Raw genomic sequence first — 26662 nt, forward strand, 5'->3', positions numbered from 1 at the left:
ACAACCACGAATGTCTTGGTCTCTGATAAAAAGACAAAAAGCCTTGGGAAGCATCAAATAAACCAAAACACCACAGTGGTTTCCAGTTGGTAGAGATGCTTAAATAATTTTCCTTTTAAAATTATTCTTGTGCTTATTGAACATATAATGCTATTACTGATTTTTTTTAACTTGGCTTGGGAAGAAAGCATCCAGACTCTAGTAATATGAAGTCTTCAGCACTAACTTAATCCCTTCAACATCATTTTGATTCTTGCTGAATCCTGGGATAATTGCCTGAACTGTGCTTGGTTGGACGGATGCAACTGGGTGTTTATTATACTGGGGTCTCTGAATTTGTGAGCATTTACCAGCATTTAAACAGTGACATTTGCTTTCCAGCCACTGAGATGTTGGAGAAGAGAAATAACACTGGCATTTGCTATCGCAGCACTTCATGTGAAGAGTAATGAAACAGTCGTGCTTATAATTCCATGCGGGGTGGGGAGGTGGGGAACTTTTATAGAGGCATTTAGAAAGGGTTATTTCAGGTTTCTACTTTGAAACCCAAACCTATGAGCATTAATGCAATTATAAATAACTCACCATTCTTAGGATCAATGGAGAATTCCTTAGAAGAGGATAGAATTCTGTAAGAAATGTTCTCATTGCTTTCTAAGTCTGTGGCTGACAGAGTCAGCACTGAATACCCCACAGGTATTGATTCAGGAACTGTGACCTGAGGGAAAAAGAGAAAAATAGGGACATTGTGCTTAAAGGCTGAAGGTATTTTCACCAACAGGGACAGAACATGAGGTCATTTTATTCATTTTGATTATGGAAACCATACAATACAACCTGACTTTGTTAGACATATTAATTTATGGAATTGGCATATTAAAAAGATTGTGTGAATAGTCCCTGGATTCAGAAAAAAAGGTGTTGTTTTGTTTTGTTTTGTTTGAGATGCAGTCTTGCTCTGTTGCCCAGGCTGGAGTGCAGTGGCGCAGTCTTAGCTCACTGCATCCTCTGCCTCCTGGGTTCAAGCGATTCTCCTGCCTCAGCCTCCAGAGTAGCTGGGACTACAGGTACCTATCACCACACCAGGCTAATTTTTGTATTTTTAGTAGAGATGGGGTTTCACCACGTTGGCCAGGCTGGTCTTGAACTCCTGATCTCAGGTGATCCGCCCACCTCAGCCTCCCAAAGTGCTGGGATTACAGGTATGAGCCACCACGCCTGGCCAGAAAAACTAAGTTTTAAAAATAATTTTATTCAGTTTTTTTTACTATGAAAAAAAGTTCTTCTAAACTATTTCTATGAGGCAGAAAATAGTTAATACATTCACTAATATATTATTCCATTACATGCATGGCATTAATTCAAGCAAGCCTTCACAGGGGATCATTACTTAGGTTACCCTCCCCTTGTGTTTACACTTAAATCTTGCATTTGCTACATTCAAAAGTTCTGGAGTCCATTTGCAAGTATTGAGTTGAATGCTATCCTTGCCCTTACTTCTATAAACATATATTATGCTCTAAAAGCTAAAATTTCCACTTTATAGTTTTGTTCGTGATTTTTTTTCTGTAAAATTTTAATCAATGCATTCCAAAAATATGCCTATGAAAGAAAGAATTTTCCCAAATTAACTGCAGATAATGCAAACAGTCTTATCAGTGGTTTGCAAATATTTGGCAGGTTCCAATTGTCATGACAAACTGGACTACAACCTCTAAAAACTAAAAAAAAAAAAAAATACATATGTAGTAAACTAAACCGAATGAGACATTCATTTCCATATGTACTTATAGACTCCGTGATATTAAGTGTAAAACCCGCAGCGTTAACTTAGGCACTACAAACAGTGAATGCTGTCTATCTGAATTAGTCTATCGGCGATGGAAGACTTACATTATTCTCTATTCTTTCTAGTTTTGGCTTTGGTTTCGGCATCTCTTTAAGCCCTTTACCTGATAGAAATCTTGAGAAAACACTGGTGGATTATCATTGACATCCAGCACACGGACTACAAGTGCTCCCTCTGTGTAGTGCACTGAATCAGAAATTTGGATGAGCAGCTCATATTCAGTCATTTCTTCAAAATCCAATGTTTTCACCAACACCACCACTCCAGTGTTCTGATCAATAGCAAACTTGGTTCCAGGATTACTCTCTTTGGCAAAACTGAATATGAAAGCTGAATTCAAATCCACATCATGAACTGACACATGAGTCACAATTACACCAGGCAAAGAATCTGAAATAGTCATGACCAGTGTCAGTCTCCATTAAAATTCATCCTTTGAAATACATTTCTTTAGTAGTTCCATCCAAGTATTTTTATTCTAAGTCCAATATGATTTGCTCTTTCTTGGCTTGATTTCTCATACAAAGCTCATTATGCACTGAACAAAAACTCTGAAGAATTTATGAGACCAATAAAAGTGAAAATTTACCACTGAGTAGGGAATTGAGGAGGTAGGGTATATTCAATTTTTATATTACATTATTTTCATTATATGCTTACAACACAATTCCAGTACCAAGAAACATTCTAAGCCACTTATTTATAATATACACTTTCTGTATCAAAATCATATCTTCATGGGGGATATGAATGGGATGAAAGGTATTACTCAGGACATTAATACAAAACATGGCATTTTCAAAAACAGGCCAGGTTTAAATATTTGGGCACTAATGTCCGAATTAGATACTTATTTCCTTATATTTATTTTTGTACAATTATTTATTTTGGAGTGGTGCACACACTGCTTCCTTTTCTTAAATCTGACTCTCAAAATTATTAAGACTATAGAAAAACAAAGTCTACATAGTACTAGTGAGGAAAGCAAATCTCAAATATTATTCACCAAAAAATTACAAAATAGATGAAATGTTCAATGCCTCACTCACCACATATGTTCTGTAGCCTAAACAGCCCGTGAAAGGGACTTTGTTTTTAATCTTACAGATATGGTACAGCTAGAAAGAATATGCCAAGATGCTCAGAATAGTTCCATTGTATATGAAACCCATAATTTTCCATTTTCAAGCTTGAACACTCTCAATGTGCACCAACCACACCGTACCCTATTCAGTATGTTTTGATTTATGTAGTTTCTTCTTGTGATATATTTATATTAGGCCCATTGCTATATTTTAACACTAATTGCATGTGCTGAAAAATAGATCCTTCAATAAAATCAAATGAAAATATATCAAATATGCAAAAGGCAAAACTGGAGAATTTATTTTATTTGTAGGTTGTAATATTTGTAGATATCTCTATGCATAGACATGTCTGGAATATTTCCCTCTGTGAGAGGTTATGGTTGTAATTTGTTTAGAAAGTGAACATAATAAAATGTTAGAAACATTTTAGGAATTAATGTCGTATTACGAGTGAAGTAGAGAGGCAAGCGAGGGTCACCATTATTTTCATCTTCAACTATAAAGACTTAGGTTATGTTTCCCCAACGCAGCCATTGACCATGGACAACTTTGGGTCCACAGACTAGAGGACCATTGTATAACCCACAGACCCAAATAATGAAGGTTAACCAGCATCTCACTTAAAAATTTCTAGTTTCAACCTCTACCATTAGTGTGGTACAAACGTTGAAGATAAGGTTATTCTGGGAAAAATGATGGCTTTGTGCAATAAACATCTAATTCACTTCACTAATTAGTTGTTGTTCGTATCCTGAAAAGACTGACAGAGTTATGAATGCTGATTCTTCTTAGAGGAGGTTCACAATGGTTATCACAGTCAACAAAATATGCTTCTTCATAGAGTAGATATAATTTGTAGGAAATGTCTGCATTATAAACAGATACTATAAGGGATGATGGTTGGAGCATGGGGACTTGCTTTGACATTTTACTCCTTTGACATTTAATATTTAACTTATGATCATCCATTTTTTTGTTCTGCAAAATGAAGACAAAAATGATCTAGTTTGCTTGGTTGTTGAGGATTAGCACTCATGTTAATACAGTGTCTGGCTAAAGAAAATGGTAAATGATATTATACAAGTTAATCAAAACCACTATGCCAAATTGTCACACTTACCTTCTGTAATTTCCACTGCTTCAGAGGGGAGAAAAGCTGGGGCATTGTCATTTATATCAGTCACCTGTACCTTGATTACAGTCGTATTAGAAAGCCTGGGCATCCCTTTATCTGTGGCTTGGACAATCAAGCTGGTTTGGAAAAAGAATCAAAGAATGTGATTCATCATCCAGGAATTAGAAAAACAACATAAATATCAAATATCTAGTTGAAAATTTTAAAATGAGCTGACTAGCTACTTTTATTTTTCTCTTGGATTTTCTAAATGGCATCATTTAAAATGTATTTCATAAGAATGGTACTCTGAAATTTATTTATTTTTGGCATGTTCAGAGAACCAAATCCAGCAAGCTGCCAGGGATCATGAGGCATTAATGTCAAAATGGACCATTTCGGAGAGCCAGACTGTAAAATTCAATCCTGTCCTGTGAAGAATAATCTTAAAAAATAGAAACACCAATATCTGTACTTTGGATAAGTAGACTGTTTCCACCTTGCCATGCCCTGGTCTGGATATTGCTACATATTTCCATCTTACTGAACCAACAAAAGATGTAGCCACTAAAAGATTGCTTTGTACTGATATTTTTGGATCCAAATAGCAAATCAATCGAAATGCTAGAAATAAGACAGGACACCGCTATGATGAACACACTTACAGAAGATGTATGATTGGCTAGGATTGTGAAGTAGAGGTAAAAGTCCATGATCTGAAAGAATTTACATAGACTAATTTAATCTCTCTTGGATGATGCTACAATGAGCTTGTCCATCAAACAAACTACAAACCTTGTTACTGTCTTCAACTTCTCCCTTTCTCTCACCACCCTTCCAATGTTCAACTAATTATGTATCTTATCGGTATTACCTCCTGGATGTCACTTGGATTAGTGTCCCCAGCCATTTCACTCCTACCTTCAGAGCCCTCATGTATGGTAATCAGCACATTTTGCTTTGTCTGGGAGTGAAGAATTTCCTGGGACATGAGACTTGCAGTGTTTTTAAAACCAAGATACTCCAGGCAAACTGGACATGGGACTTTCAGTGCTACATCCACTAAAGTCCCAGGCAAACCTGGACAAGCCAGTCCCCTGTAGCCTCAGCCCCTCACCATTTTTACCTGGAATGCTCTATATGTATTGTATCCTTTCTCACCAGGAGGACCTGATAAATTACCAACCTCCCTGCTGTGAGTCTCCTCTTGTTCCATCCACCCTCTATATTGCGCTCAATTGCTCTAACTAAGATCCTAATTTGAAAACCTGACCTCCCTATTTAAAACTCTTCTTTGGCTCTCCATGTCTCTAAGAGGTTATCCAAACCCCTGAACATGTTCACATAAACTTTTTTGTTCTTGCTTTTACATGGAATCTCAGCCCTTACACCTTGGTTTTTCAAAGCTCACATCTCTGCGAAGTTGTCATGGACCTTTCATTTGATTTAAATGCACCTTTATGTATTCGCATAGCACCCTGTACATTCTTCTGCCATAGCAATCATCACTCTTTTTTCTTAATAACATATTTGTCTGCCTCTTCTGTAAGTTTCTTATGGGCAGGGAGCCGCCTTATTTGCTTTTCTATAGTAAGTATTGAATGTTGGTTTCTCAAGATTTCCCCAAGGTTATACATACATTATATGACAGAGCTGGGATTCAGGTTCATGTGTTGGTCAACTGGAAACCTGTGCTTCATGATACTTGTTGAACATACCTCTCTTATTGTGTATATATCACATTCTAATGTATAATTATTGGCTTATTTTTCACTCCCCTCTGAACACGATGAAGGCTAGGAGGGTGGCTGAGTAATAAAATGAGTTATTAATTAGAAGATGCTCTTTATTTCAGAAGTGGAATTAGTCTCAGCTAGTTGTGGGAACCACCTTTTAAGAAACTATGTCTTCAAAGTTGATACACTTTCACTTTGTTTTCATTGTTAGAACATTCACTTGATGAATGTTCTTTCTCTTTCCAATCCTAAATTTAAAAATGACATGAAATAAACATCAACTCCTTCTTGGTTTGAATTCCACTTAATATTAAATCATCAGGGCTTATCTACTATTCATGAAGAACACAGGCTGCCTTCTGCATTATCAGAGTTGGAATATTAGTAGAACAACCACCTGAATCTCACATTTCTGGAGCCTAACTTCTGGAATAATTATATGCTGAAAGTTTATTTTGTTAGTATGAATGTCAGTCAGATACATATGGAAATATTTTACCAAAAATAATCAACTCATACTCCTTTCTCCCCTGCTGCTTGCCCCTTCCAATGTCATCTAAAGTCTCAGCCAAGACATCAAAGTTAAGTTTCTATCAACTCTTCTACTGTAGCCATAATTACCATTATTTTCACAATGTTACAACTTCAGGCATCCTACATAATGCCTTGTCAGATTAAAAAGAAGTGAGATTCTTTGATATGGAGAGAAATATGTTGTTTAGCATCAAAATAAATGGGAAAGGAAAAGGTTCCTCAATGACTTGAAGAACAAATAAAAAAATATGAAGGTAGATGTGCAGATATTCTGTACACAACCTCTGCAAGACTTCAAGCCATCTATGATGGCTCTTTCGCAGTTGTGAAACTGTTGGTTGTAGCCTGTCCAACTCACTCCATGTTCCACAACTGTTGCCCTGATTACTATTATCACTACAGACAATAAATGAAACTGACCAGATTTAGAACAGGCCCATTCTAAGCCTTTTAAATTCAGAGCATTTTTTTCCTGTTCTATCAACAATGGGAAGCTTCTTTTACCATGTTAAACTTTAAATAAGGCTTTTGACCAGGAAGGATCTCTTTGATTGTCTTAACAAGTACTAAACTTGTTGGTAGAGGATTTTTCAAAACTCTCAATTATATCTTAAACGTCTAGCAGGAATTTTCTAATCCTTCTGAAATTCTGAAAAAAAAAATATCAGCCACCAGTAGAAATAACTATGAAAAGAAAAACTATGATTTCTGGTTAAAGACAGCAAGCTGACTACACAGGTTTTATCTTCCCTTCCTCTCAAGATTCTTCTAAAATGATATCAAAAACCTTTTATAATAAGTTATAAGTCCATAAAGCTAAAAAATGAGGGAAGATATTAGTGGGTGAAATGAATGAGAAATATCAACAAATTCTGGAAGATACAAGCAGATTGAAGAGTGTTTGCAGATGAGTGGGCCAAAGGAAATCAGAGATTAAAATCCACTCAGAATGTACAACACCAAGAGTGGATCCCACTGAAAACTGTAAATCTGAGTGATAATGATGTGTCAGTGTAGCTTCATCAAAATGCACCAATCTGGTGGGGATTTTGATAACAGGGGAGGCTGTGCATGTGTTTGGGCAGGGATATACAGGAAATCTCTGCACCATCTCTCAATTTTGCTGTGGACCTAAAACCACTCTAAAAGAAGTCTTTTAAAATGCATTCAGAGGAGCATAAAGATACGTGAGGAGCAGAGTTGCTCCCAGGTCACCAAGGAGAGGCTCAAGACATGGCAAATATTGCAGTGAGGTATTGAGATAAAAATAGGAAGAATATTTTAAATTCAGATTATTTAAATAGAAAGATTATTTATGTTATTTTAAATACAGGGTAGTTTTGTCCCTCTTGCCCATTACTCTGCATTCTCAGCCAAAGAATGCCTTTGGTTCATACTTGGGGTTAGTAATATTGAAAGACCTTCTCTGGAGAACTGAAAGTCCCCTCCCAAAGAAAAGTGAACTCCATATACTGCCATTTGTATGTCATCCTGAAAAATAGTCGACTTCCCCTGTGGTACATTTGAAAGTGAAGAGTGCTAGTCAAGTCCCTCTAGCCCACTCAGAGGTTCTAATGACTTTGAAATTGCCTCACTTATATCTAAGAATCAACACTTATTTACAGAAAGCCTTCAGCATGAAAAAGAGAGCTCAATATAGACAAATAAAAAAAAGGAACCCAGTGGAAACAGATATTGAAAGGAACAAAAGAAAATTTAAAACAATTCTAATTAATACCTTGGAGAGATATCAGAAGACAACATGTGCATAAAACAAGAGTTGGATATTATTTAAAAAGTCAAACATCAAAGAAGAGCTTTTAGAAGTAAAAACAAATATATAATATCCTCTCAATTTTTAATTAGAAAATAAAAAAGAAATTTTAGAAGATTAAAATTCAGGAAATATCTTCCCAAAATAAAACAACAAAAACTAAACCCACACACAAACAATAAATGGAAAGTAGGAAATAAAATATAACTAACAAAGAATTCATCTAGGCAATCCAATACCTAATTGAATAGGATTCAGGAAAATGAAACAGGGCAAAACAACAAAACAAAACTAAAAAAAGGGGAGGAAATTTTCAATGAATTTTCCTTTTCAATAATACAAGAAAATTAAAAGAAATATGTCTTTTTATTAAAAGTGAACACTGAATACACAGCACAAGGAGAAACCCACATCAAAATATGCAATCACATTTTAAAATACTATGGATGATAAGTATAACCTATAAATTTCTAGAGAGAAGGAAAAATTATACAAAGTAAAAGAATCAGAATGGTGGCCAGGCGCAGTGGCTTATGCCTTTAATCCCAGCACTTTGGGAGGCTGAGGCGGGTGGATCATAATAAGGTCAGGAGTTCGAGACCAGCCTGGCCAATTTGGTGAAACCCCATCTCTACTAAAAATATAAAAATTAGCTGGGTGTGGTAGCGGGCGCCTGTAGTCCCAGCTACTCGGGAGGCTGAGGTAGGAAAGTCACTTGAACCAGGAGGCAGAGGTTGCACTGAGCTAAGGTCAGGAGTTCGAGACCAGCCTGGCCAATTTGGTGAAACCCCATCTCTACTAAAAATATAAAAATTAGCTGGGTGTGGTAGTGGGTGCCTGTAGTCCCAGCTACTTGAGAGGCTGAGGCAGGAAAGTCGCTTGAACCTGGGAGGCAGAGGTTGCACTGAGCCAAGATCACACCACTCCAGCCTGGGTGAAGAGCAAGACTCCGTCTCAAAAAAAAAAAAAAAAAAAAAAAAAAAAAAAAAAAAAGAATTAGAATGGCACTAGACTTGTTAATAGCAACACTGGGTTTCAGAGAATAACACAGCAATGCCTTCAAAATTCTAAAAGATACTTTCAACTTCTGTATTGTCCATTGCATATATTACATGAAAGAGTAGAATAAAGACATTTTCAGACATGCAAAGGCTCAGATAATTTACTTCTGTGGCACCTTTTCCTGCAAACCTATTGGAAGAGAAAGACATGGGATCTGGAAGTGCTGGCCTGACCTCGGAGAGCTATAAACCAAAGTTATCGGATCTCAGCCTTGCAATAGGTTTATTAACCCAAACTGTTCATGCTAGATGGAGAGGGCATAAAGCAGTAGGAACCAGGTCTTCATGAAAAAAGAGGGCTTGATAGAATATTTGATGAAAGGCAGTTAGAGGATAAATTAGATGCAGATAACAGAGCTTATGGGATATTTACAAGGCATTCAGTGCATAGATATAGCCAATTGGGCACTCAGGAAAGAAACTGGGGGCTTGAGGAGTAGTGATAAAAGGAAAAAAACATATAATATGATTTGACTATGAAGTAAACATGAATAGATTCATATAATATAAACACTAATTACTGATTAAATGAAAAACAGTGATATGAATATAGAAAGAGTTGGAGTGTGAGAAAGTAAGGATTTTACACCTATATCTATTATAACAGGAAGTTAAGAGATAATGTTTAAAGTTATAAATTATTACATACTTGTATTTATAATATCAGAGAAAATCAGTTAATAGTGTCTGCTTCTGGAGGGCTTTAGCCTTGGGAGAGGTGAGGCAGTGGTTGCTGACTTTCATCTACACTCTATACACTATTTGATTTTTTTAAAAAATGTATATATTACTTTGATAATAATAAAAAATCAAATTAAGAAAATATGCTTAGATCAAAATCTTTAATCTTTATGTATCTATTGAATACTTCTTTTCTGCCTAAACAGACTCAATCCTAAGTAAAAAGAAGAAAGCCGGAGGCACCATATTACCTGACTTCAAACTATACTATAAGGCTACAGTAATGAAAATAGCATGGTACTGATATAACACAAACACACAGAGTGATGGAACAGAATAGAAAACTTAGAAATAGAACCACACACGTACAACCATTCAATCTTTGACAAAGCCAGCAAAAACAAGCAATGAGGAAAGCACTCCCTATTCAATAAATGGTACTGGGATAACTGGCTAACCAGATGCAGAAGAATGAAACTAGATCCTTACCTTTTACCATATACAAAAATTGACTGAAGATGAATTGAAGATTTAAATATAAGGCCTCAAGCTATAGAAATCCTAGAAGAAAACCTAAGAAATACCCTTCTTGAAATTGGCCCTGGCAAGAAATTTTTGGCTAAGTCCTCAAAAGCAATTGTAACAAAAAACAAAAATTGACAGATGGGATCTAATTAAACTAAAGAGCTTCTGCACAATAAAAGAAATAATCAGCAGAGTAAAGAGACAACCTACAGAATGAGAGAAAATATTCACTAACTATGCATCTGGCAAAGGTCTAATATCCAGAATCTACAAGGAACTTAAATCAACAAGCAAAACCCAAATAATCCCATTAAAAATTGGGCAAAGGACATGAACAGACACTTTTCAAAGAAAGACACAGAAGCAGCCAACAAACATATAAAAAAATGCTCATGATCACTAATCATCAGAGAAATACAAATCAAAACATAATGAGATACCAGTCAGAATGGCTATTATTAAAAAGTCAAAAAACAAAGATGCTAGTGAGAGTGTGAAGAAAAGGGAACATTAATACATTGTTGGGAATGTAAAATAGTTCGGCCACTGTGGAAAGCAGTTTGGAGATTTCTCAAAGAACTTACCACAGAGTGCCATTGGACCCAGCAATCCTATTGCTGGGTATATTCCCAAAGGAAGGTAGATCATTAGAGCAAAAAATACATGCATTTATATGTTCATCACCACGCTATTCACAATAGCAAAAAGGCAACCTAGGTGCCTGTTAATGGTGGATTGGATAAGGAAAATGTGATCTATGCAGCCATAAAAAAGAATAAAATCATGTCTTTTGCAGAAACATGGATAGAGATGGAGGCTATAATCCTAAACAAATTAACACATAAACAAAAAACCAAAATAGCTCATGTTCTCACTTACAAATGGGAGCTAAACATGGAGCATGCATGGACATAAACATGGGAATAATGGACACTGTGAACTGCTGAGGGGGAGGGAGGGAGGGTGCATGGGTTGAAAAACTACCTGAGTACTGTGCTCACTACATAGTACAACACACCTATGTAACAAACCTGCACACATGTCTCCTGTAACTAAAATAAAATTTGAAATTAAAATAAATAAATAAAAATAAACTATATGAGAGGATTGCATAGGTAATATGCAAATACTATGCCATTTTATATAAGAAATGTGAGCATCCATGGATTTTTGGATGGGGGAGTGGGAGGGATGCAGTGGAGAGTCTCACAACCAATACCTCATGGATACTGAGAGATGACTGTATTTTTAGTGATTCTAATGCAAACATATTTTGAAGTCTTCTTTCAGCCCAACCTCTCCCCTTGGTCTCCATGACATTATCTTTTTCTAGATCTTTCTATTCCCTAAATATATTTTGCAGTTCCTATTTATCGGCCGAATCCTGAGGTGGTGATAAGTCACCACTCCTCAATTCTCATTTTACATATTCTCCCTAGGTAATTCATTTTACACATTTTCCCTGGATGAATCTCAAATCCATATCTTGAGTGAAGACCCCTACCCTGAGCTACAGATTATTATTTTCAATTGCCAAAAGGGTATCTTTACTTTTGTTCTTGTATTGGTCCTTCCACCTCAAAATACCCAGAATAAAAAAATCATAATCTCCATCTGTTCCTCTCCCTTCCTTTCCTAAGCAGAAAAAGAACCATTCTATCTCTTTTCTTGCTCGATAAATTCAATTGGTGATCAAGTTCCTATGGATTCCATATTTGAATCAATATTTTAGTATGTATCTTCCTTCTGTCCCCACTGCACCATCCATGTAACAGACTTTTCATTGCTGCAGTCTAGCTCAGCTTGTTGGCCTAAGCTAGTTCTCTCTCTTGCAGTGCATCCATTATGAGGTGTCTTTAGAAATAAAGATACAAACATTCGTTCAACTGCTTATAGTTGTATGTAGTTCACAGAATAATGTTTAGTTTCCACTACGAGACACAGAAAGTCTTTCAAAACTTGCCTGCTGCCTCTTTCATTACCCCAAACTTAGTTGCTTCTTTGGTGTGCTGTACTACTTGCTACTTCCAAACATACCAAACACTTTCACGTTCCCGTGCCTTTGGCCCCAAATCCTTTTTATTCCCTTTTTCTCAGGGCATCAATAGACTGGGATTCCAATCCCAGCTTTGCTTTTCATGAATTGTGTATTTTGAAAAAGATAATTAACATCTCAGTCCATTTCCTACGTTGCCTGTAAAATTGCTTTCTCCCAGTCATAATGAGCATTCAATGGAGAATACACTGAGTTTAGCATTGCTCCTGAAAATAACTGCTTGCCTTGAATATTTATTTATTTTGTAAATGTACATGCATATACTTTTAAGATTCATTCACATCATAAAATAAGCCCTGCAATCATTCACATCGGCTAGAATCATGTTCTACCATGTACTAGCTTCGGATTCTTGGCCAAACCACTTTACCTCTCTGAGTTCCCATTTCTTTATTTTATAAATCATGTCTATTACAAGAATTCAATTAGATAATAAATGTGAAGCAGGAGTTCCATAAATGGAAACTATTGTGATTATTAATGTGCCTTCTGCCATATATCTTACTAGGACTTGATTTTCTTTTTCTTTTTTTGAGACAAAGTCTCACTCTTGTTGCCCAGGCTGGAGTGCAGTGGTGCGATCTCAGCTCACTGCAATCTCCACCTTCCGGGTTCAAGCGATTCTCCTGCCTCAGCCTCCCGAGTAGCTGGGATTACAGGAGCCCGCCACCATGCCTGGCTAATTTTTGAACTTTTAGTTGAGACGGGGTTTTGCCATGTTGACCAGGCTGGTCTCAAACGCCTGACCTCAGGTGATCTGCCCGCCTCAGCCTCCCAAAGTGCTAGGATTACAGGCATGAGCCACTGCACCTGGCCAGGACTCGATTTTCAAACTCCTTGAGAACAAGGGCTCTTGCATTTGTCTTTGTGTCCCCAGCTTCATGCTTGATAAATAGCTTTTTGTATATTCATAAACATCAAACAGAAATTAATGCCTATTTTATAATTTGTCATCGAATTTCCACTGAATTTTCTTCTATGTGGCTTAATATGAAAACTAAAAATTATTTAATACATTCATATTTAGTAGAATCATGACTGATACTATCTCCCTTTTTCCATTTTATGTTTTAATTTATTATTATTTTAAAAAATGCATCACTAATTAAAGGTTAAATTGCCCAAGTCTTGGAAATTGAAGAATATAATAGGAAATCTTTTCTTTTTCAATTTTTAATTTTTGTGGGTACATAGTAGGTGTATACATTTATGGGTTACATGAGATATTTTGATACAGGCATGCAATGTGTATCAATTACATCAGGGTAAATGGAGTATCCATCACCTCAAGCATTTATCCTTTGTGTTACAAACAATCCAAATCTTTTAGTTATTTTTAATTATAATCTTTTTGTTATTTTTAAACGTATAATTAAATTTTTGACTATAGTTACCCTTTTGTACCAGCAAATACTGGGTCTTATTCATTCATTCCAACTATATTTTGTAATCTTTAACCATTCCCACTTGCCCTCAATCCTCCCTGACCCTTCCCAGCCTCTGGTAACCATCCTTCTACTCCCTATCTGCTTGAGTTCATTTGTTGTAATTTTTAGCTCCCACAAATAAGTGAGAACATGTGATGTTTGTATTTCACTTAACATAATGACTTCCAGTTCCATCCATGTTGTTGCAAATGACCGGATCTCATTCTTCTTTTTTTCTTTTAATGGCTAAATAATACTCCATTGTGTATATGTATCCCATTTTCTTTATCCATTCACCTGTTAATGGACACTTAGGTTGCTTCCAAACCTCGGCTATTGTGAATATTACTGCAATAAATTGTCGATATAGTGATTTCTTTTTAGTGGGTATACATCTAGGAGCAGGAATGCTAGATTGTATGGTAGCTCTATTTTTTTGAGGAAATGTTTTATATTTTAAAACAAAGGGCTGGAATTGGGATACTTTCCTCGATCAGACAAAATAGCAATACTTCAAAAGTAAAAAGTTGGAAGCTAAATGAGACTGTTTCCAGAACATTCACTAAAGGTGTAGCAGACTAGGGAAAATCCTCCTTTATTTCTTATTGCCTTAAATATCAAGAAAAGCACTAAAGGATAGAAGCCATGCCACAGCAGGTGTTGTGCGGGGTGGGGGGCGGGGTGTGGGGAGAGCCCAGGGAGGAAGGAGGTTTAAAATAATTCCTTGCCTTGGTGATGCTGGAGAGAGAGAGAGAGAGAGAGAGTGTGTGTGTGTGTGTGTTGTTACCTGTGTGTATCTCTCTGTGGCAGTGTGTAGGGGGTTCAACTTTTCTCAGTTCCTGCTTCTTCAAGCCTAGAGTTAAATTCTTCATGGCAATGGGAGAGAGTCATTTTTAATATTGGGACCAATTTAATATTGTGAACATAGAAACCATGACGCAAATAGGAAAAAGTTGAAAGAAATTAGATTTAATTGTTAATTAGGTTCCATTGAGTAAGAAGAACACTGTAACAGAAAGTCCTTAAAATCAGAAAATGCTTAGTTCTTAGAACATGGCAGACCTTTAATAATTCCTGAATTTGTAATCACTCAATTAGATTGAGATTTATCTGCAGTCATCCGTGGAAGAGGAGAAAAGTTTCATGCTTAAACAATTACTATAGAAACAATGTAGCAGGGAATAGGTTTTAATATATCTAAACAATAAGTACCAATAGCTATTATGCTAAAATATTATTTTAAAATTTATAATAGTTAATACAGGATAAAGTCTTAAACTTTTAAAATACTTTTGAAGTATATTAAACAAAAAACTAAACATTTAAATTTTTAGCATTGGGAGGTTTTCCAGAGGGTAATTAATCCAATATAGCCAGTAAGATATTCCAGTTTAATCAGCTCTCATTGCTCAACCACATGCACATATTATAATTTTTTCATAAAACATAAAAGTAGTCTGGTGTAGAAGCATACTGACACTCACTGTCTTTGGTATACTGTACCTGTGTTTTCCTTAAACAGGATGTCTGCTCTGCAGCTCTACAGTGGAAAGACTGTGACTTAGAAGCAGAATACTTAAGTGCAAGTTCACTTTTGAACCTCAAATTATCCTATGACCCTGAGCAAGCCACTGTATTTCTGTTGCCTTATCAGCAAATAAGAAAATGCCCACCTTAACATCCTCAGGAGGTGCTTGCGAGGATTAAATAGAATACAGTATGAGCAAGGCCTTTTGGAAAAACCGAAAAACACAACATCTATCTAAAGCATACTAAAATGTTCAGTAAAAGAGCTAAGCCTCTCTTGGACCACAGGCTGCCTGACTGCTTCTCCAGAGACAAATAAGGTGAACGGTTTCTTATATTTTCTTCCAGAAGCATTCTCAATATGCGGGTGTGCTTTTACTCAAACAGGCATGCTGGATAAGCATGGTAGTGGGTCTCGTTACTGCCTTCACTTAGTCACATATCCTAGAGCTCCATCCTCATCGGCACATAGAGTTATGCCTCTTTCTTTTGTAAAATCAGCTTCATGGTATTTCATAGTATTCTATTCCAGGGTTTTGCTAATTCTTTAAGCAGTCCCCACTCATGGATATTTTAGAATTCTTAACAGTGTTTTGCTGGCTGGGCGCAGTGGCTCAAGCCTGTAATCCCAGCACTTTGGGAGGCCAAGGCAGGTGGATCACTAGAGGTCAGGAGATTGAGACCAGCCTGGCCAATATGGTGGAACCCCATCTCTACTAAAAATACAAAAATTAACCACGCATGGTGGCAGGTGGCTGTAAACCCAGCCACTTGGAAGGCTGAGGCAGGAGAATTGCTTGAATCCAGGAGACAGAAGCTGCAGTGAACTGAGATTGTGCCACTACACTCCAGTCTGGGCGACAGAATAAGACTCTGTCTCAGAAAAGGAAAAAAAAAAGGCTTTTGCTTCCACAAATTGTGATCCCATCACTATCTCTCTGTATAAGTCTAGTCTTTGGTAGCACTGATTTTTTTAAACACCAAGAAAACTTAAACACTATTATTATTTCCTTTGTTGAATTCTGTATAAGGCTGGCATATCTTAGACTCTAGGCACAAAGTTTTAATGTTAAATGTATGCGTTTAATAAGATCATTTCTATTAGAACACAGAACTGCAACAGGACCTTCAAGACAGCGTTGTACTTTCATATGCAAGAATAAAGAATCAAAAAGCAAGGTATCCCTCAGTCGTCACGTTTTAAAAAAACAATAACAACAAACACCTGCAGAGGGCTCTCTAGTTCATTAGACATCTCACAAACATTATCTTTTTAGTGTCCCCCATTTAGTGCTTAATAGCATCACAAATTCATAAAATCTTAGAACTAGAAGGGACCTTAAAGTTTTGCTATTTTAATCACTTTTTTCCAAATACAAATAATGGCTGAGACTATTTTCAATATCAAAAAGAGTAGATCAAAGAGAATATCAACAAGTTGGATCAAAGGGATAACACATTTTACAATAAGCTTACGTAACAGGAAGTTATGAACAAAACAGCAATGTTGTCAGTAAGCAGGCAGAATAAATGGAGCCAATGGATCTGAACCCTGGACCAACCTGTAGGAGCTGGTGAGCTCGTAATCTAGAATCGCTTTTGTTGTTATCACACCACTCAGTGCATCAATCTGGAATGCTTCTTCTTGGTTGCCAGACAGAATAGAATACTCAATCAGGCCGTTCAAACCACTGTCCAAGTCGGTAGCAAAAACCTGTGAGGAACCGACTGTTTCATTAGATAAGATTTATTCTGCAATATGGGTTCAGTCTGTTTTTCAGAGACATGCATTAAGAAAGAATCACAGCTTGTCAAACATATTTTAAAAACAACGATGAAATGAAATACCAACAGACAACTGAAGCTTACATTTAACTTTATGATAAACTGAGTGATGGGGGAAATTCTTCATCCAAAGAATTTTCAAATAGCTCTCAGTAGACATGGTACATGTTTTTGAGGTATAATTTTGTGCAATGAGAAGAAATATTTTTAAAAACATCTAAGTTGCTTGAATAGGAGAGTTCCAATAGTGTATATGAATTCATGCTAGCACAAGTAAAGGGAAAAAATGTTATGGGAAATCTCCACATAGTGATAATTTTTTTTTCATTTGCTCTGTTTTTCTGCTTAAAGAATTACCTATAAAATTGGCTAGGTGTGAATTTTTTTATATTGTATTTAAAGTTTTATTTTATTTTATTTTTGAGATAGAGTCTGGCACTGTCACCCAGGGTGGAGTGCAGTGATGTGATTCATGGTTCACTGCAGCCTCAGCCTGCTGGGCTTAAGTGATCCTCCCACTTTAGCCTCCCAAGTAGCATGCGCCACCATGCCCAGCTAATTTTTGTATTTTTTTGTAGAGATGGGGTTTTCCCATTTTGCCCAGGCTGGTCTTGAACTCCTGGGCTCAAGCGATCCACCTGCATCAGCCTCCCAAAGTGCTGGGATAACAGGTGTGAGCCACTGTGGCTGGCCCTAAAGTTTCATTTTAAAGGGATCATTAAACAAGTGAAACAAAACCTAGATTTAGTGCTAAGAAGTGTAGATCCTAATCATGTATTTGATGAGTTATCAAAGTTGTGTTGAGGATAAAACAGAAGTTTTACATCATTCTCCATCATTTTGCAATAAACTTTAATCACTAAACCAATTATGTTAGTGGATTTGGTATCTTGATTAAGAACAAGTTGACAAATTAATTAATTACTTTTTACTTGTTTATATCTTCTATGCCCCTGAGCCTTAGTCTTAGCTCCTGTCCCCTGTCATCTCTCTCCTGGGCTACTATACTGATGAATGTCCTAGTGGGTTTTCATTCTAATTTCCTACCATCTCAATTTATCCTTCACTTTGCTGCCAGAGTTCTCAGGGGACCCTGAGTGACCCAGGTGCAGTATCCAGGAGCTCATCAGACAGGGGACAGCTCTTGGGACCGAAAGGCTGCAATATGCAGTTTCCTTTGGGATCACCAAGAAAAGAAACCAGTCTGCATCAAAGTCCACTATATCCCTTGGAGCCATACATTTAAAAGTGCTACAGAAGCACTTTGGGAGGCCAAGGCGGGTGGATTACGAGGTTAAGAGATCAAGACCATCCTGGCCAACATGGTGAAACCCCATCTCCACTAAAAATACAAAAATTAGCTGGGCGTGGTGGCATACGCCCATAGTCCCAGCTACTCAGGAGGCTGAGGCAGGAGAATTGCTTGTACCTGGGAGGCGGAGGTTGCAGTGAGCCGAGATCACGCCCCCACACTCCAGCCTGGCGACAGAGCGAGACTTCGTCTCAAAAAAAAAAGTGCTACAGAGAGTATCTCTGGGTGGTCTATCAGCTATGGTTCTAGGGTACCGGCACATCTTAACTAGTGCTAACCCAACCGGGGAGAGATGTATCAGAAAGACAGTGCCCAGTGAATACAAGAGCCTGAGTGGCTCTAGGGAATGTAAAGCACAGCTTCTTTGAGTTGTTGTCATCAAGATGAATTGGCTGTAATTTGTCTCTGTCTTGGTGTCCCTTCACCGAAGATTCAAATTTCAGGGAGAGAAAGTCTGTGTGACTGAGAGAAGCAAGGCAGTTCACCACACCTTTGGCGGGATGGGAGTGGGAGGCAGGTCAATATCTTGATGACAACACCCCCAGGACTGCATCAACAGAGGGTCAGACCCTCAAAGGAGTTTGTGGGGCTGTAACCAAAGGAGGGCATTGAGCAATGTGGGGTCAAAAACCAGGAAGCAACCACCACAATTGGTATGAGCTCCAGAGCCTCCTTCATTTCTAATTTTCTGAACAGGACACAGCAGAATGGTAGTGCTAGCTTCCTGGGAACTCAATGATTGGAAAATGGAAAGAACAAAGTTCATTCTATCTGTCCCTGACTCAGCCTTCTACAAGTCTGCCATAATTTGAAGGGCTGGTGGGTCAGGCTCTCTCTCATTCAGTGCACCTGGGCTTTATATGGGTCTTTGCCTTCACTTATTTCACACTGAGCAATTTAGCTCCATCCCAGTTAGCATTTGGGACAGAGAAGTGAAACGATGCAGGGCCCCAGTGTGGGGATCCTCTTGTGACAAGGTGGCAATGGAGGCATCTGCCATCCCCACTGATCAGCCTCACTGGGCAGGGATGATAAAGACTGGAAAAGTGAATGTTCTTTCTTCTGAAACATCTCAGTCATGGCTGAAACCAGGGTAAAGACACAGCACATCTGGAACAGGCTGGTGACTAGAGCAATCAGGCTGCTATAAAACAAAATACACCTGCAGTCATAGCCTAGGGGATCCCAGATATCCTGGACGGGGTGTAGGGGCACAGAGCTAAAACTCCAAGGCAGCTGAGACTCTATTGGTCTTGTTTTCACCAACAGCATGGATATGTGCTTCAGAAACTGGAATTGCAGTAAAAGAAAGGCTTTTTTTTTTTTTTTTTTTTTTTTTGTGAGATTGAGTTTTGCTCTTATTGCCCAGGCTGGAGTGCAATGGCATGATCTCAGCTCACTGTAACCTCTGCCTTCCAGGTTCAAGCAATTCTCCTGCCTCAGCCTCCCAAGTAGCTGGGACTACAGGTGCCCACCACCACACCAGGCTAGTTTTATATTTTTAGTAGAGATGGGGTTTCACCATGTTGGTCAGACTAGTCTCGAACTCCTGACCTCAGGTGATCCACCTGCCTTGGCCTCCCAAAGTGCTGGGATTACAGTTGTGAGCCACTGTGGGGTCTTTTTATATAATGAGGTGAAGGTGTCTGCACAGTAAAGAACTGTTGCAGGTTTTGTCCAGAAAATATGCTAGCATGCCATGTAAACGCCTTACCCCACCTAGCCCAGAGAAAAAGGGGTGTAATAAGCATGAAGTGCTGACCACAGCCATGACATTCCAGGGGCCAAAAGGAATGACCCTCCCTGTGGCTAACTTTGCCTGGAAGTTGGATTTATACTGATTTCCTTTCCAAAGTCACGGGAGGTTAGAGATCTCCTAATGCCCAGCTTCCTGACTACAAAAACTCAATTCAATAGTGGAGGGAAAGATGAAACAAGCACTTGTCCTGAGGCAGGTGGAGAAAGTATCAAGGATGGGTGGGTTTTACAGCATGAACAAAACTTCCCTGTGAATGGATGCTTCTCCAGGACTTGGGGCCTTTTACTGAGATGGGGCTAGTCCTGAAAGCAGATCCGTCCACATGCCTGTTCACCTTGAAGACTTAGTGTAAATATCCTTATTCTATGAAGTCTTACACTCCTCCTTCAGGAGGAGGCTGTGTCTCCTCTTTTCACTCATTACACTAAATGCATACTTCTATTGTATTAATAAATGCATACTTCTAGTGCTCAACAGTACTCCTAGAGAAAGCAGATGTCAGTAATTGAGCACTGAATAAATAAAGAGGAAGAGACAGTGCAAGAATTTCAGATTTTCTTTAACCTAAGGTTTCATCCCATCTATAAAATGTACATGGCCTGGAAAGAGTGTTGTACTACAGGGATTAGAAATTTTTATGTACATTGACTTGTAATAATTCTCTCTCTCTCTCTCACACAGACACACCCACACACACACACACACACACACACACAAATATATTTCTGTTACCTGTATGACATGAGCATTGTAGAGTTGGCTTTCAGACACTGATGCCTGGTAAATGCTTTGTTCAAAGCATGGTGAATTATCATTCTCATCCTGTATCAAGACTGCTACTTTGCAATAGGCTCTATGCCCACTACTTTCAGCTAAAACGATGAGTTGAACCTCATTTCTGACTTCAAAATCAAGAAACTTGGGTTCTTTCACAGTGAGTTGTCCTATTTTTATTTCCAAGGAGAAAAAAAAGAAAATGATGTTGTAGTTATTCTTTTATTTTTTATTTTATTTATTTATTTAGTTTTGAGACAGAGTCTCGCACTGTCGCCCAGGCTGGAGTGCAGTGGTGAAATCTCGGCTCACTGCAACCTACGCCTCCCGGGTTCAAGCGATTCTCCTGCCTCAGCCTCCTGAGTAGTTGGAGTTACAGGAACCCGCCACCATGCCCAGCCAATTTTTTGTATTTTTAGTAGAGACGGGTTTTCACCATGTTGGCCAGTCTGGTCTCGAACTCCTGACCTCGTGATTCACCTGCCTTGGCCTCTGAAAGTGCTCGGATTATAGGCGTGAGCCACAGCACCTGGCCATAGTTATTCTTAAAATGACTCAAAGCATCTTTGCCTCATGTGCTCACAGCTCACCTGTCCCGCAAAAGCCTCCCATTGCCGGGCCTCCTTTCCCCACCGACCCGGGTCATTGTGAAAAGATTTGGGATCTTGCAGATGTTTGCAGGTTCAAATATGTAGAGAGAAAGAAACTATGAAATACCAAGACCTGGGAGCTATCTCTCTCCATATTTACCCCCTGGCCATGTCTGGAAAGTCTATCTTTCAAATTTAGCTTCACTCCAGCCCCATTACTGCTGCCTTCCTTCAAGCCACCAGCACTTCCCACCTTGTCCCCTGCATTAGCCACAAAATTGGTCTCTCCCTAATCCAGTTTTCATTCTGAATTTAATAAAAAAAAAGATGCTGTCATTGTTCTGCATGAAACCCTTCCATGATCATAATATGCATCTGCTTCTTGAATGCTTATTAAAGAGTCATCACGCATGCGGTTCCATCAGCCTGGAATGGCTCACACAGCGATTCTTCCTCAGGGATTTTTCCAGATCACCATCCCTGTACCATCACCTCCCCAAAGTCTCTTACAAAGCCTCTGCATTTCCCAGCAGCTGCATCATCGCTTTGTTCACCTTCATCTGTTTTTTGTCCTATTATTCCTCTTGTTTATAAGCTCCATACACCATCTCTTACGTACCATCATATCTCCAGTGTCTGGCTCAGGGTCTGGCCTCCAGAAGGCACACAGTAATACTTTTATGCCCTCATATAAAAGGCAGATCCAGGTTAGGGAAGCAGATTTTTGAGGGTGATGCCATACTCTAGTTTCCCCCACCCCCAGCAAATTAAGAAACTTACTCCTTTAACATAATTTCCTTGTCTAGATTTTACTGTTTTTTCCTCCACTTTACAATAAAATTTCCGACTCAATGTATTATTTTTATTTACTTGGCTTTCACTGTCAGCAAGTCCATCAAATAGAGAGTTTCTGAATGAACACTAATTTGGAGTTAGAGAAACCTGAAACCAGGCATAAATCCGAGGCCTAGAAATTTAATTTAGGTCAATTACCTGGCTCCACCACCTCCTAACTTTGTGACCTGGATAAGTTATGCGGTTGACATAAAGCTGAGTCTCCTTTTCTATATAAAATGGGATGTTAACAATGACTTCAAAGAGTGGCTGTGAGGAGCAAGTGACATAACGCATATTTGGAATGTCTCTTTGTAGTAACATGTAGATTCCACGATGTGTTACTCGTGTTTGTCTGCCCCTCATCATCACATATGGATTTAATATCTCTGTGAACTCTGAATTTAGAAAGAGAACATTTAATAGCCATCAACTACTAGAAGTTCGATCCTCTGGTGAAAGAATCTGTACTGGAACTATGTTCCGTAACTATGGCCTGGGAGCTGCAGTTTTTATTGCTCTATCTGAATCAGCTTCCCCAGATAACCTAGTCCAAGAAGCTTTAGGTCATCTGGCACCTACTTGAATTCTAGTGGGAGGCATATCCTGTTCAAATATTCTGTCTTTGTTATTGGGTGTTTTGGGGGAGATTTTGTAGCTTATATTCTGTTAGGAAAAAAAAACAATATATATTAACTCACTATACTACCAAATTTAAAATTTCATAAACTCAGTATCATTTTTTGATATCAAATTTAGTTATCAATTTAGTACTAGAACCAAATTACTTCACAAACCATAGTCTGTTGTGACCAACACCCCTGGCAGAAAATTTAGAGTAGCTCTAACTTTGGGCAGCTGGAGAATAATTAAGATGCTTTTTGATATGCTGGTGATGAAACTAGGTGGTCTTCAGAAACCTCCCTGAAACAAAGGCTGATTCCCACACCCCGAAATGTCACCAGAGCCCGAGTCTGAGGTGGGTCCACAGCTCTCACCCAGATCTCTTGTCTCCACCAAAAAGAGCACTTGCCTGGCTATCATGTTCTGTTACTGTTTGTAAAGGAAAAATAGAATAGAAATGCAACACTAAATTGCCCGTGTCACTGAGTAGAAAGTGTGCCAATTATAGTGCAGATCAAAGTTGATTTTTAATAAAAGGCTTGTGTTTAGGCTTTGATAATTGGAATTTTGCACTTGGAATGGATCGACGGTTCTAATGCTTTCCTTGCATGGTTTTTATTTTTGGGGTAATAACTGGCATATGCTGTGAAAGTCGTGCAAGTAGAAAAGACAATAACCAGTCTGTGGGATGATTCAAGGCTGCTAGATCCACATTTTTCCTTGGATAATACATGGGTAGTTTTCACAAAGACATCAAGCGTGTACTGTCATCAGTGAGAGGAAAGTACTACTGGACTCTGTCTAATGGTATACGCAGAAACTAACACCTTCCTTAGAGTAAGAAGCCTCACAAATACTAACTTCATGTTCTTGCTTATATGTTAATGTGCCAGTTATGGAATAACTTGAGAAAAAAATGGTAGTAACATTTTCTTCTAAAAAATACATACATTATGTAGCTTTTGACAAAGTTATGAAATACACATCCAAATGAGATTAAGATTCATCAAATGCTACATGCTTGATAACATAATCAGGTTACTTCCATCAATTATATACTGTGTACATGCATTTGTACAAACCAAAGCAGAATGTGATAAATATTTATGTTATTCAGTAGCTTTCAAACCGTCTCCTACTTAAACAATGTCTTTGAAACATTGAAAGTTTGATCAGTTTTGTTTTGCGCCACTCTAATAAATACTAAAATGAATGCTGCCATCTGTTATTTACATACAAAACCTTAGTCAAGCTCTAAAATTGCTGCTGATTTAGACAGTGAGAAATACATGTTTTTACACTAAAGTGGCATGAAGTTTAAATACAGAGTCAACTTGGTTTGTGACGATGGAACAGAGGGTAAACTGGCACAAATTGACAGAAAACAGAGTTCTCATCAGAGATCTGTCTAATGACAACTTATTAAACTAATTACTAATAAAATGGTTTTCTCACACTTTTATTCTTAAGTTACTATAATCTTAGAGATAAATATTATTGATTTATTATACATATCAGTCTCACATTTTAAGTGGTGTATGTTTAAAATACATACATTCAGAAAACCTATACAATTAGATACAATTTTAATGATAATTTGTCAAAGGTAGCATAAAAGATGCATTTAATATCATAATTAAAGTTTTAAAAAAGCTTTCTTGACAGCAATATGTTAAACTATATACTTGACCAATCTTCATGATAAAAACAACTAAAATGCATGATAAATTATATATATAATACATATATATGCATAGACATATATGTGTATGTATTACAATGCATTATTGAGTTGGTACAGTTGTAAGAATTCTACAGAGGACAAAACAGAAATGAAGACAGAAATCCTGAGAGGTTAGTAAGTACTAACAGCTCATTTTTGTTCCAAAGATTTCTACCACAACCTTTTATCTTACTATTCATTTCTGATAGTTGCATGGAGTGTGGAAAATAAGGTGAGAACCCACAAAAGGTGAAGGGGCTAATAGGAAAAACTAGCATAAAGCTGGAAACCTAAAGGCTGCATATATTCCAAATCAGTGGCCATTATTGAAAAAAAAAAAAAAAAGAAAACTGAAACTGAAGCAGAATTAGCAATGTGGACATAACTGAAATTTGCTGAAGTGTTTCAAATTGTGTAGATATTAAAGAACAAACTCATGAATACAATCCACAGATGGAATGCAGCATCAAAGTCACCCATATGATCACAGAAGGATTACAATCTGCAGCAACGGTGATGAGTTAGAAAGAAAGAGACTACAACTTCTAATTACAATGTTCTTCCAAAAGGTTTTGGCCAAAAAACCACCAGAAGCTTGACTTTTTTTTTTAACCTTGGTGTTGATTGAAAGGGAGAAAAAAAATCTTCCGTATTAGTTTAAGCCTGAATTTATGGTAGCTATACTATCATAGTTATACATATTTAAAACTCTTAGGAATTAAACTTAAACTGGCTTCTCCCTGATGATTCTCCAGGTGAATTGCAGAAAAGGAAGCAAATCCTCTTTTAAGGGCATAAATTCAACTGAGGCTTCAGAGAATCGTCAAAGAGCTTTCAAGGATAATGAGTAGCTCATAGTCTACAAGCACTAAAGTCATAGAGAAGCAAGGCACCATAAATGACAGCAAGCAAACCCATAGACAACAGAACCAAACATCAAAGGCTTCAGATGCAGGAATTGTTGGACACAGAATTATTATATATGTTTAAATACATTAAAAACCCTTGGAAATATGAGCAAGGAACAAGAGGCTATTTTTCAAAAGACAAAGAGTTGAAAAAAATTCAACAGAACTACTGGAAATGAAAAATACAGTTCCTCAGAATGAAGAGAAAGACAGATGAAAAATATAAAAAAGAGATGTAGCAGAGAGTCACATAGCCCAACATTTGTCTAATTGGAGTTCCAAGAAAAGATACAAATGAATGGCGTTTAGATCAACAGCTAGCTTCTTAATGCGACAATGGGATGCCAGAAGCCAGTAGAATAATATCTTAATATGATGAGATAAAATAACTGTGAATCTAGAATTACAAGACCAGCAAAAGTATTTTAAAAGCATGGATTAAATAAGTACATTTTTAACTACCTAAATCTGAGAGAGCTTACTATACAAACCCTCACTAAAGGAGATAGTTCAAGCAGAAAAAAATAATACTAGAAGAAAGGCTGAGATGTAAGAAAGAATGGTTAGCAGAGACATCAACAAGGATGCAGCTAAATCAACTGAAAAATACTAATAATGCCTAATTTGAAAGAACCAAAATTGTGGTCACAAAAGCATGTAAATTGATATAGGAGCACTTCGAGATCAGTAATTGCAAATCTCTTGTATTACTCAGGAAGAGAATATTGATTAATGTTGGACTTTATATATGTTAAAGTAACGAGGCTAGCCACCGAAATAAGAAAAATAACTATATAACTTCAGACAGGGGAAAGTGGTCATTTTCAGATATGATTTTATGTGTCAAATATACAGAAAAATGTCAGTCTCTAGTTTGCAAATTTGCCAGACAAAAAATCAAAAGACAAAAATCAGTTTCAAATACATACACCAGCACCGTCAGGAAAAGCATTTTTTTTCATTTACCGTAGTGAGAAAAAG

General features: G+C 37.5%; 1 protein-coding gene and 1 long non-coding RNA gene across 3 annotated transcripts in view; one reads left to right on the forward strand and one right to left on the reverse strand.

Annotated features, from left to right (window-relative positions):
• LOC101927947 (uncharacterized) overlaps positions 1-26662 on the forward strand; it is a 469997-nt gene that overhangs the window by 409762 nt on the left and 33573 nt on the right. The gene's annotated exons all lie outside the window — the stretch shown is intronic.
• DCHS2 (dachsous cadherin-related 2) overlaps positions 1-26662 on the reverse strand; it is a 260058-nt gene that overhangs the window by 6843 nt on the left and 226553 nt on the right. Inside the window, exons 15-19 of the mRNA NM_001358235.2 lie at positions 20961-21172; positions 16935-17086; positions 4058-4188; positions 1953-2239; positions 586-718 (exon numbers count right to left, since the gene is read on the reverse strand). Of these exons, the coding sequence (NP_001345164.1) occupies positions 586-718; positions 1953-2239; positions 4058-4188; positions 16935-17086; positions 20961-21172 (915 nt within the window). The remainder of the gene's footprint in view (positions 1-585; positions 719-1952; positions 2240-4057; positions 4189-16934; positions 17087-20960; positions 21173-26662) is intronic.

Source organism: Homo sapiens, chromosome 4 (genome assembly GCF_000001405.40).
Source record: "Homo sapiens chromosome 4, GRCh38.p14 Primary Assembly".
Lineage (NCBI taxonomy): Eukaryota > Metazoa > Chordata > Mammalia > Primates > Hominidae > Homo > Homo sapiens.